Source organism: Homo sapiens, chromosome X, assembly GCF_000001405.40.
Source record: "Homo sapiens chromosome X, GRCh38.p14 Primary Assembly".
Taxonomy (NCBI): Eukaryota; Metazoa; Chordata; class Mammalia; order Primates; family Hominidae; genus Homo; species Homo sapiens.
In genome coordinates this window covers 92,667,193-92,680,082 of record NC_000023.11, presented here as the reverse complement: position 1 = coordinate 92,680,082, position 12,890 = coordinate 92,667,193, and the positions used below count along the sequence as shown (strand labels likewise).

At 32.9% G+C, this 12,890-nt stretch overlaps 1 pseudogene; it reads left to right on the top strand.

The window, feature by feature from the left end:
• Nucleotides 3,087-3,607, top strand: RPL26P36 (ribosomal protein L26 pseudogene 36; annotated as a pseudogene).

Here is a 12,890-nt window from a genome sequence, read left to right as displayed (position 1 = left end):
GGTTAAAATAATGGGCTATAAGACAGTATTTGCAAGTTTCATGGTAACCTCAAACCAAAAAACATACAATGAATACATAAATAATAAAAAGCAAGAAACTAAATTATATCATCAGAGGAAATCATCTTCACTAGGGGAAGACAGGAAAGAATAAAAGGAGAAAAGATAGACCACAAAACAACCAGAAAATAAATAACAAAATGGCAGGAATAAGTCTTTACTTATCAATAATAACATTTAATGTAAATGGACTAAACACTCTAATCAAAAGATATAGACTGGCTAAATGGATGAAGAAACAAGATCCATTTATCTGTTGTGTAAATGGAGTACATTTCACCTATATAGACACACATAATCTGAAAATTAAAAAATGGAAAATTATATTCCATGCCAATGCAAACCCCAAAAAAGCAGGAGTTGCTATACTTATATTAGAAAAAAATAGATATCAAGACAAAAACTATAAGAATAGACAAAGTAGGTCACTATATAATGATAAAGGGGTCAATTTGGTAAGAGGATATAACAATTTTAAATATGTAGTCACCCAACACGGGAACACCCCGATACACAGAAAATATTATTAGAGCTAAAGAAAGAGATAGGCTCCAGTACAATAATAGCTGGAGACTTTGACACCCCCACTTTCAGCACTGGACAGATCTTCTAGACAGAAAATCAATAAAAAAAAATCAGGATTAATCTGTACTATAGAACAAATGGATATAATAGATGTTTACACGGCATTTTACATAACAGCTGCAGAATACACATGCTTTTCTTCAACACATGGATGACTCTCAAGGATAAACAATATGTTAGGTCACAAAGCAAGTCTTAAAATATTCAAATAATTGAAATAATATCAAGCATCTTCTCTGGCAACAATGGAATAAAACTAGAAATTTATAACGAGAAATTTTTGAAACTATGCCAATACATGAAATTTAAACAATATGCTCCTAAGTGACCAGCAGTTCAATGAAAAAAGAAAGTTAAAAGAATTCTTAAAACAAATTGGAAACAATTGGAAAATCTCAAAGAAAGGGACAAATTGCTAGATACATGCAACTTACCAAGATTTAACCAGAAAGAAATCCAAAACCTGAACAGTCCGTTAACAAATAATGAGATCAAATACATAATGAAATGTCTCACAGTAAAGAAAAGCCCAAGGCCTGATGGTTTCACTACTGAATTCTAACAAAAATATAAAGAAAAACTCATATCAATTCTGTTCAAACTATTTTAAAAAATAGAGGGCAAGACCAAACTTATTCTATGAGGCCAGTATTACCCTGATACCAAAACTATAAAAAGACACATTAATTAAAGAAAAGCACTGGGCGATATTTCTGATGAATATTGTTGCAAAATTTCTTAACGAAATACTAGCAAACTGAATTCAATAATACCTAAGAAAGTTTATTCATCATGACCAGGTGGGATTTATCCCTGGGATGCAAAGATGTTTAAACATATACAAATCAACCAATACGATGCATCATATCAACAGAATAAAGGAAAAAATTATATGATTATTTCAATTGATGTGGAAAAAGCATTTGATAAAATTCAACATATCTTCATAATAAAAACCTTCAAACGGTGGAAATTTAAGGAATATACCTCAGCATAATAAAATCCATTATGACAGTGCCACGGCTAATATAATACTGAATGCGTAAAAACTGAATGCGTAAAAACTGAAAGGGTTTTCTCTAAGATCTGGAGCACAACAAGGACGTACACTGGCACCATTGTTATTTAAGATAGTACTGAAAGTCCCAGCTAGAGCAATCAGACAAGAGAAAGATATAAAGGGCATTCAAATTGAAAGGAAAGGGTCAAAATGCCCTTATTTGCAGATTATATGATCTTGTATTTGGAAAAATCTAAAGACTCCACAAGGAAACTATTATTAGAAGTGATAAACAAATTCAGTAAAGTTACAGGATACAAAATCAATGTAGAAAAAATGAGTAACATTTCTATATGCCAGTAGTTAACAATGTGAAAAAAAATAACAAAACAAGAAATCCCATTTACAACAGCCACACATAAATACCTAGAAATTAACCAAAGAAGTGAAAGATTCCTATATCAAAAACTATAAAACACTGATAAAAAATTAAGGAGGACACCATAAAATGGAAAATTATTCCATGTTCATGGATTGGAAGAATCAATATTGTTAAAATGTACGCACTACCAAAGCTATCTGCAGATGCAATAGAGCCTGTATCAAAATACAAATTCATTTTTCACAGAACTAGCAAAAACTAATTCTAAAATGTATATGAAGCCACAAAAGACCCAGGATAGCCAAAGGTATGCTGAGGAAAATGAACAAAAATGGAATAATCACATTATCTGATGTCAAATTATAATACAGAACTATAGTAACTAAAATAGTATGGTGCTGGAACTCAGACCAGACACTTAAACCAATGAAACAGACACAAATCCACACACCTACAGTGAAACCATTTTTGACAATGATACCAAGAACATATGCTGAGGGAAAGACAGTCCTTCAATAAATGATGCTGGGAAAACTAGATATCCTTATACAGAATAATAAAACTGGTTAACTATCTCTCACAATGATGTGGTTTGGTTGTGTCCTCACCCAAAATCTCACCTTAAATTTAATCCCCATAATCTGTGTAATCACCAAGTGTGAAGGGCAGGATCAGGTGGAGGTAATCAGATCATGGAGGCATTATCCCCCATGCTGTTCTCATCATAGAGTGTTTCACCATGTCTGATGGTTTTATAAGCATCTGGCATTTCCCTTGCTTGTACTCACTCCATCCTGCCGCCCTGTAAAGAAGGTGCCTGCTTCTCCTTTGCCTTCTACCATGATTGTAAGTTTCCTGAGGCCTCCCTGGCCATGCGGAACTGAGTCAATTAAACCTCTTCCCTCTATAAATTACCCAGTCCCAGGTAGTTCTTCATAGCAGTATGAGAATGGAATAATACACACCATATACAAAATCAAACCAAAATGAATTAAAGACTTAAATCTATGATCTCAAACTACATAACTGCTACAAGAAAACTATCAGGAGTGTGTAGTTCTCTTCCCTTTTGCATCCATCACTGAAGAGGGAGCGGCCAAAATGAAGTTTAATCCCTTTGTGACTTCCAACTGAAGGAAGAGTCGCAAAAGGCATTTCAATGCACCTTCCTACATTCACGGGAAGATTGTCTTCCCCTCTTTCCAACGAGCTGAAACAGAAGTATAACGGGTGATCCATGCCCATCCAAAAGGATGATGAAGTTCAGGTTGTACGAGGACACTATAAAGGTCAACAAATTGGCAAAATAGTCAAGGTTTACAGGAAGAAATATGCTATCTACATTGAACGGGTGCAGCGGGAAAAGGCTAATGGCACAACTGTCCACGTAGGCATTCACCCCAGCAAGGTGGTTATCACTAGGCTAAAACTGGACAAAGACCGCAAAAATATCCGTGAACGGAAAGCCAAATCTTGCCAAGTAGGAAAGCAAAAGGGCAAATACAAGGAAGAAACAATTGAGAAGATGCAGGAATAAAGTAATCTTATACACAAGCTTTGATTACAACTTGAAACAAAGAAAAAAGAAAAGAAAACTACCAGGAAAATTTTCCAGGACATTGTTTAGGGCAAAAATTTCTTCAGTAATACTCTATAAGCACAGATAGCCAAAGGAAAAATAGACAAATGGCATCACAACAAGTTAGAAAGCTTCTGCACATAAGTGATACAATCAAGAAAGTAAAGAGACAACCCATAGAATGTGAGAAAATATTTGCACACTACCCATTTGACAACAGATTACGAACCAGAATATATAAGGAGCTCAAACAACTCTATATTACTCTAATAATCTGATTAAAAAAAATGGGCAAAAGATTTGACTAGAAATTTCATGAAAGAAGACATACAAATCACAAGCAGGCACATGAGAAGGTGCTCAACATCATTGATTACCAGATAATTGCAAATCAAAACTGTACTGAAATAACATCTCACCTCAGTTAAAATGAATTACATAAAAAATACAGGCAATAACAAATGTTGATGAGGATGTGGAGATAAGAGAGTCTTTATAAACTGTTGATGGGAATGTAAATTAGTACAACCACTATGGATAACAGTGTAGAGGTTTCTCAGTAAACTAAAAATTGAGCTACTATATGATCCAGTAATCTCACTGCTTGGTATATACGCGAAAATAGCAAATCAGTATATAAAAGAGATATTTGCCCTTCTATGTTTGTTTCAGTACTATTCACAATAGCTAAGACTTGAAAGCAAACTAAGTGTCCATCAACAGATGAATCGATGAAGAAATTGTGGTACATATACACAACAGAGTATATTTATCCATAAAAAGGAATAAGATTAAGTCATTTGCAACAAGGTAGATGAAATGGGAGATCATTATGTTAAGTGAAATAAGCCAGGAACAGAAAGACAAACATCACATGTTCTCACTTACTTGTGGGATCTAAAAATGAAAACAATTGAATTTGTACACAGAGATATTATAAGAATGCTTACCAGAGGCTGGGAAGGGTAGTGGAGAGTTGGGAGTTAGGAGGGGAGGTTAATTAGTACAAAAAAGTGGAAAGAATTAATAAGACCTAGTATTTTGTAGGACAAGGTAACTATAGTCAAAAATAACTTAATTGTATATTTTTAAATAACTTAATATAATTTGACTCTTTGTAACTGAAAGAATAAATGCTTGAGAGGATGCATACCCCATTCTCCATGACATGCTTATTTCACATTGCATGCCTGTATCAAAACACATCATGTACCCCATGAATATATACACGTACTATGTACCTACAAAATTTTTTTAAAAATTAAAAAATACAGACTGTGGCTGAATAGATGAAAAAACAAGACTTTGTGATCTGTTGCCTACAACAAACACACTTCATCTATTAAGACACACATACTCTAAAAATAAAAGAATGGAAAAATATTTTATTTCAATATAAACCAAAGATGCAGGAGTAATTATATCAGACAAAATAGATTTCAAGACAAAATGTGTAAGACAAATCCAAGAAAGTCACAATATAATGATAAAAGTGTCAATTCAGTAATAGGATATAACAATTTTAAATATATATATATATATATATATATATATATATATATATACATTGAACACTGAAGCACCTGAATGTATAAAGCAAATATTATTAGAGCTAAAGAGAGAGACGGATCCTGATATGATAATATCTGGAAACTTCAACACTTCATTATCAACCTTGAATAGATCTCCCAGACAGAAAATCAGCAAAGAAACGTCCAACTTAATCTGCACTATACGCCAAATTTACCTAACATATATTTATATAACATTTCATTCAACAGCTGCACAAAACACATTTTTTTCCTTAGCACATTGATCATTCTCAAGGATAGACCGTATGTTAAGTCACAAAACCAATCTTAAAACATTCAAAAAATTAAATAATATCAAGAAAATAGATTTATTTGGCTTACAATTCTAATGGCTATAAAGTTCAAGATTGGGCATCTGTATTGGTTGATGTCCTCAGATTGCTTCCAGTTATGGTGGAAGTTGAAGGATGGCCAGATTGTGCACAGATCACAGGGTGAGAGAGAAGCAGTGTTGGGAGGCAGGTTCTTTTCAACAACCAGAACTCATAGAATCTAATGGAGCGGGAATTCACTTATTCCTAAAGGAGGGCAGCAATCTATTCACGTGGGACCAGCCACCTTGACAAAAACAGCTCCCATTAGACCCCACCTCCAAAACTGTGAATCAAATTTAAACATAACATTTAGAGAAACAGACATTCAAACCATAGAAACATTATAGACCCTGTGAGACAATGTTACACTATAATGATGATTATCTAATAACTATCATTGACTTGTGTCTTTGTTTTTTGCTACCATAAGAATATAACACACAGGATAACATATGAAGACATTTATTTCCAAACAGTTCAGAGATTAGGAAGTCCAAGATACAGGAGTTAGTGTCTGTTGATGGTGTTTTCACCGCATCATTCTATGGTGGAAGGGCAAAGAGATAATGGGAGAGAGCAAAATATAAACTTGCCCTTTTATAATCAGCAATAAGGCATTCATGAAGGTGGACTTCTCTTGATCTAAACAGCTTCCATTAGTTCTCACCTCCCATCACTGTTGCAATAAGGATTAAGTTTCCAATGCGTTTTTTGTTTGTTTGTTTGTTTGTTTGTTTTTGTAACTTAGGTTAAGGAGTACTTGAGCAGGTTTGTTATATGGGGAAATTGCGTGTCATGAGGGTTTGCTGTGCAGATTATTTTGCCACCCAGGTAATAAGGGTATCACCTGATATGTAGTTTTCTGTTACTCACCTTGCTTTCTTCCTCCACCCTCTAGTAGTCCCTGGTGCCTACTGTTCACTTCTTTGTGCCTACATGGACTCAATATTTAGTTCCCACTTATGAGTGAGAACATGTGGTATTTGGTTTTCTGTTCCTGTTTTAGTTCACTTAGGATAATGTCCTCCAGCTCTATCCATGTTGCTGCAAAGGACATAATTTCATTCTTTTTTATGAGCGTATATTACGTTGGTGCAAAAGTAATTGCAGTTTTTGCCATTACTTTCAATGGCAAACATCACAATTACTTTTGTACTAACCCAATAGTATTCCATGATGTAGACGTACCACATTATCTTTATCCAGTTACCATTGATGGGCATTTAGGTTGATTCCATTCTTTGCTATTTTGAATAGTGTTGTGATGAATATATGCATGCATATGTCTTTGTGTCTTTATGGTGGAGCAATTTATATTCCTTTTAGTATATACCTAATAACGGAATTGCTGGGTTAAATGATAATTCTACTTATAGTGTTTGGGAGATCACCAAACTCCTTTCCACAAAGACTGAGCTAATTTACATAGCCATCAGCAGTGTATAAGCATTCCCTTTGCTCCAAAACCTTGTCAGCATCTGTTATTTTTTGACTTTTAAATAATAACCATTCTGACTAATGTGATATGCTATCTCATTGTGGTTTTGATTTGCATTTTTCTAATAATCGGTGATGTCAACCTTTTTTTATATACTTGTTAGTTGTGTGTATGTCTTTTAAAAAGGGGCTGTTTGTGTTCTTTGTCCACTTTTTAATGGAGCTGTTTGTTTTTTGCTTTTAAATTTGTTTAAGTTTCTTATAGATTCTAGATATTAGACCTTTGTCACATGCATAGTTTGCAAATATTTTCTCCCATTATGTAGACTGTCTGTTTATTCTGTTGATAGTTTATTTTGTTGTGCAGAAGCTCTCTAGTTTAATTAGGTCCCATTTGTTAACTTTTGTTTTTGTTACAATTGCTTTTGGCATCTTTATCATAAAATTTTTGTCAGATCCTATATCCATAATGGTATTTCCCAGGTTATTTTTCAGGGTTTTTATAGTTTTAGGTTTTCCATTTAAGTTTTTAATCCATCTTGAGTTGACTTTAGTATATGGCATCAGGAATTTATCCAATTTCAATTTTTTGCACATGGTTAGCCAGTTATCCCAGCACCATTTATTGAATATTGAAGTCCTTTTACCGTTGCTTGTTTTTCTCAACTTTGTTAAAAATCAGATGGTTGTAGGTGTGTGGCTTTATTTCTGGGGTCTATATTCTGTTCCATTGGTTTCTGTGTCTGTTTTTGTACCAGTACCACGCTGTTTTGGTTACTGCAGCCCTGTGCTGTATTTTGATGTCAGGTAATGTGATACCTCTGGCTTTGTCTTTTCTGCTTAGGATTGCCTTGGCTATTCAGGTTCTTTTTGGTTTCACATAAATATTAAAATACTTTTTTTTCTAATTCTGTGATAAATATCATAAGTAGTTTGGTAGGAATAACACTGAATCTGTAAATTGCTTTGGGCAGTATGACCATTTTATTAATGTTGTATTTTCCAATCCATGAGCATAGAATGTTTTTCCATTTATTTTTGTCTTCTCTGGTTTCTTTGAGTATTGTTTTTTAATTCTCATTGTAGAAATTTTTCCCCTACCTGGTTAGATGTATTCTTAGATCTTTTATTCTTGTGCGGCAATTCTGAATGAGTGTGCATTCTGAATTTGGTTCTCAGCTTAGTTCATTTTTCTATGTTGAACCTTCCCTTTATCCTAGGAATACAGTTACATCTTGAACAACCTCCATGTTGTTCAAGTGTCAACTGTATACATGTATAATCTTTTTAGTGTGCGATTGGATTCTGTTAGCTACTATGTTATTGTGGACTTTTGCATCAGTATTTATTAGAAATTTGGTTTATAGTTTTCTTATTTTATGGTATCTTTTTCTGGCCTTGATATTGGGATAATGCTAGACCAACAGAATGCATTTAGAAGTACTCTCTACACTTCCATTTTTGGAAAATTTTAAAGGGTGTTAGTGTCAATGTTTTAATTGTTTCCTAGAGTTCACCAGTGAAATTATGTTCTCCTGGTCTTTTTCTTGTTGGGATGTTTGTAATTATTGATGCCATCACCTGACTACTAATAAGTCTTTTGTGATTTTCTATCTCTTAGTAGTTTAGTTTTGATATTTGTGGTTTTCTAGGAATTTGTTCATTTCATGTAGTTTACCATACAAAAATTTATGTTCTCTTTTTTATTTCTATAAAAACAGTCTTACTATCTGCTTTCATTTCTGTTTTCAGTTACTTGAGACATTTATATTTTTCTTAGTCAATATAGCTAAAGTTTTGTCAATTTTGCTGATCTATTTGAGGAACCAGTTCTTGGTTTCATCAGTTTTCTCGATTGTTTTTCAATTATTTATTTCTGCTTTAATTGTTATTATATCCTTTCCTCTGCTAGCTTTGTGTTTAGTTTGTTCTTCTTCTAGTTCCTTGAGATATATATTCAGGCTATGGATTTGATATCTTATTTTTTAATAAAAGCATTTTCAGCTATAAATGCACCTCTTAGTACTACTTTTACTGCATTCCATAAGTTTTGATATGTTGAGTTTTTATTTTCATTTCAAGATATATTTTAATTTTCCTTATAATTTATTCTTTGTTCCATTGGTTGTTTAAAACTGTGTTTAATTTCTACATATTTATAGATTTTCAATTTTTTTCTGCTTTTGATTTAGTTCTATTCCATTGTGATCAAAACAGATACATAATACAATTTAAATATTTTTAAATCTATTAAGACTCTCTTTTTGTTTATCCTCAGTATTATTTCTTGAACACTTGAGAAAAAATGTATGCTGCTATTTTTGAGTGAATTTTTATATATCTCTGTTAGTTTCAATTGGCCAATAGTAGTTTTTCTTTGAGTCTTCTAGTTTTTTTATGGAAGTTATGGGTAGTTTTTCTGTACAATATTGTAAATGAGGTACCAAAGTCTCCTATTACTACTGTAGAGATGTGTATTTCTTCCCTCAATTCTGGTCAATCTATGCTCCATATATTTAGGACATCTGATGTTGGTGCATATATGTCTGTAATTGTTATAATTTCCTATTGAATTGAGTTTGTTATAATTATGTACATAATGTCCTTCTTTGTCTCTATTAATAGTTTCTTTTGAAGGAATCATTAGAGTTTCCTATGTATACAGTCATATTATTCACAAACACTGATAGTTTGACTACCTCTTATCCAATGTGGATGCCCTTTATTTCTTTCTCTTGTCTGATTGCTCTGGCTAAGACTCCAGTAGTCTGTTGAATAGAAGTGGTGAGAGTGGGCATCCTTGTTTTGTTCCAGTCTGGTTTGTTCATGCTTTCAACGTTTCCCCCATTGAGTATGAATCTGGCTGTAGTTTTGTCATATATGCCTTTATTATTTTGAGGTAAGTCCCTTTTATGCTTAGTTTGTTCAGAGTTTTTATTATAAACAGATGCTGAATTTGACTGAAGTCTTTCTGCTTCTATTGAGTTGATCATACGGTTTATATTTTTACTTCTTTTTAATCTGATGTATCAAATCTATTGACTTTTATATATTAAAGTATCCTTGGATCCCTGGGATGAAACCCACTTGATCTTGGTGTATTATCTTTTTGATGTGCTGTTGAATTCAATTAGCTAGTACTTTGTTGAGGATTTTTGCATCTATGTTCATCAGAAATATTAGTCTGTAGATTTCCTTTTTGTTGTTGTTTTGTCCTTTTCTGGTTTAGGTATCAGGGTGATACTAGCTTCAGAGAATAAGCCATGGAGAATTGTTTCTTTCTCAATCTTTTGGAATAGTTTCAGTAGGATTGGTACCAATTCTTCTCCGAATGTCTGGTGGAATTCAACCATGAATTTATCTGCTAATGGACTGTTTTTTTGGCAATTTTTAAATTCCTGATTTCATCACATTGCTTGTTATTTATCTGTACAGGGTTTCTATTTCTTCTTCATTTAATCTAGAAGGGTTGTATGTTCAGGAGTTTTTCCATTTTCTCTAGATTTTCTAGTTTGTATGTATAAAGGTGTTCAGAATGGTCTCAAATAATATTTTGTATTTATGTGGTGTCAGTTGTTATGTCTTCATTTTTATTTCTAGTTGAAGGTATTTGATTCTTCTATTTTTGGTTAATCTATCTAGTGGTCTATCAAATTTGTTTGTCTTGTAAAAGAACCAACTTTCTATTTTATTGATCTGTATTTTTTTGTTTCAAATTCATTTAGTTATTCTCTGATATTTGTTGTTTCTTCTCTTCTGCTAGCTTTGGGTTTAGTTTGCTCTTGTTTCTCTAGTTTTTAATGTGTGACATTTGGTTGTCAATTTGCGATCTTTTAAACTTTTTGATGTAGGCATTTAGCACTTCAAATTTTCACCTTAGCATTGCTTTTGCTGTTTCTGGGAAATTTCGAGATCTTGTGTCACTATTTACACTGTGGGCATTAAAAAAATTTTTTAAGTGTCACTCTTATCATTTATTTATTTATTTATTTTTGGAGATGGAATCTCTTTTGCTTAGGCAAGAGTGCAGTGGCATGATCTTGGCTCACCACAACCTCTGACTCCCAGGTTCAGGCGATTCTCCCACCTCAGCCTCTGGAGCAGTTGACATTACAGGTGCATGCCACCACACCCAGCTAATTATCATTTATTTTAATCTTCACTTTGTTTTCATTGTTAACCTAAAAATCATTCGGGAGCAAATTGTTTAATTTCCATGCATTTCTACCATTTTGAGGGTCTTTTTGGAATTGATTTCTAATTTAATTTCACTGTGGTCTGAGAAGTTACTTGATATTTATTTGATTTCTTAAAATGTGTTGATACTTACTTTGTAGCCTATAATTTGGTCTATCTTGGAGAATGTTCCATGTCCTGATGAGAAGAATGTAAGTTCTGAAATTCTTGGGTAAAATGTTCTGTAAATATCTTTAGGTCCACTTGTCCTAGAGTGTAGTTTAAGCCCATTATTTCTTTGTTGACTTTCTGTCTCAATGATTGGTGTAGTGCTGTCAGTGGAGTGTTGTTGTCCTCCACTATTAGTGTGTTGCTGTCTATCTCTTTTCTTAGGTCTAGTAGTAATTGTTTTATAAATCTGGGTGCTCCAGCGTTAGGTGCATATAAATTTAAGATTGTAATACTTTCTTGTTAAATTGATTTTTTATCATTATATAATAATGTCTTTTTTTTTTACTTGTGTTCCTTTAAAGTCTGTTTTGTCTGATACAAAAATAGATATTCCTGCTTGCTTTTGATTTCTATTTGCATGGAGTATCTCTTTCTACCCCTTTATCGTGACTTTATGTAAATCCTTGCATGTTAGGTAAATCTCTTGAAGATGACAGATATTTGGTTTTGATTTTTTTTTAATCTATTCTGCCAATCTGTACCTTTTAAGTGGAGTATTTAGGCCACTTACATTAAATGTCAATGTTGAGATATGAGATACTGTTCTAGTAATTATGTTAATTTTTCCCTAGATATGTTTTTTTCGTTGTGTTATTGTTTTATAGGCCCTGTGAGTTTTATGCTTTCAGGAGGTTCTAGTCTGGTGCATATCAAACTTTTGTTTCAACATTTTGAACCCCTTTTAACATTTCTTGTAGGGCTAGTTTGGTAGTGACAAGTCCTTCAGCATTTGTTTGTCTGAAAATGATTTTATTTATCCTTCATTTATGAAACTTGGTTTTGCTGAACACAAAATTTTTGGCTTACAGCTATTCTGTTTAAGGAGACTAATGATGAGACCCCAGTCCCTTCTGGCTTGTATGGTTTCTGCTGAGAAGACTGCTTTTAATTTGAGAGGTTTTCCTTTATAGGTTACTTGATGCTTTTGTCTCACTGCTCTCTGAATTATTTCCTTTATGTTGATTTTAGATGGCTTGATGACTATAAGCCTTCATGATGTCCTTTTTGCAATCAGTCTCCCAGGAGTTCTTTGAGCTTCTTGTGCTTGAATATGTAAATCTCTAGTAAGCTAAAAAAAAGATTTCCTCAATTATTTCCTCAAATAAGTTTTCTGAACATTTTGCTTTCTCTTCTCCCTCAAGAATGCCAGTTATTCTTAGTTTTGGCCTTTTTGCATTATCCCATATTTCTTGAAGATTTTGTTCATTTATTTTGACCCTTTTTTCTTTAATTTTGTCTAATTGGGTTAATTTGAAAGCCTTGCTTTTGTGCTCTGAAATTCTTTCTTCTACTTGTTTTAGGTCATAGTTAATATTATCCACTGCATTTTGTAATTCCCTAAATGTGTCTTATAATTATTTTTATAATTATTATATTACATTATATTATTAGTATTTCTTCTAATTATTGTTGAGTTTATTTTTGATTTGTCTGTGCTTCATGTAATCTTTTTGCCTTAATTATATTACTTTAATGCTTTTAGTTTGTTGTAGCTTAATTTGGCTCTTTATGCTTTCAGGGATGAAGACTGTAT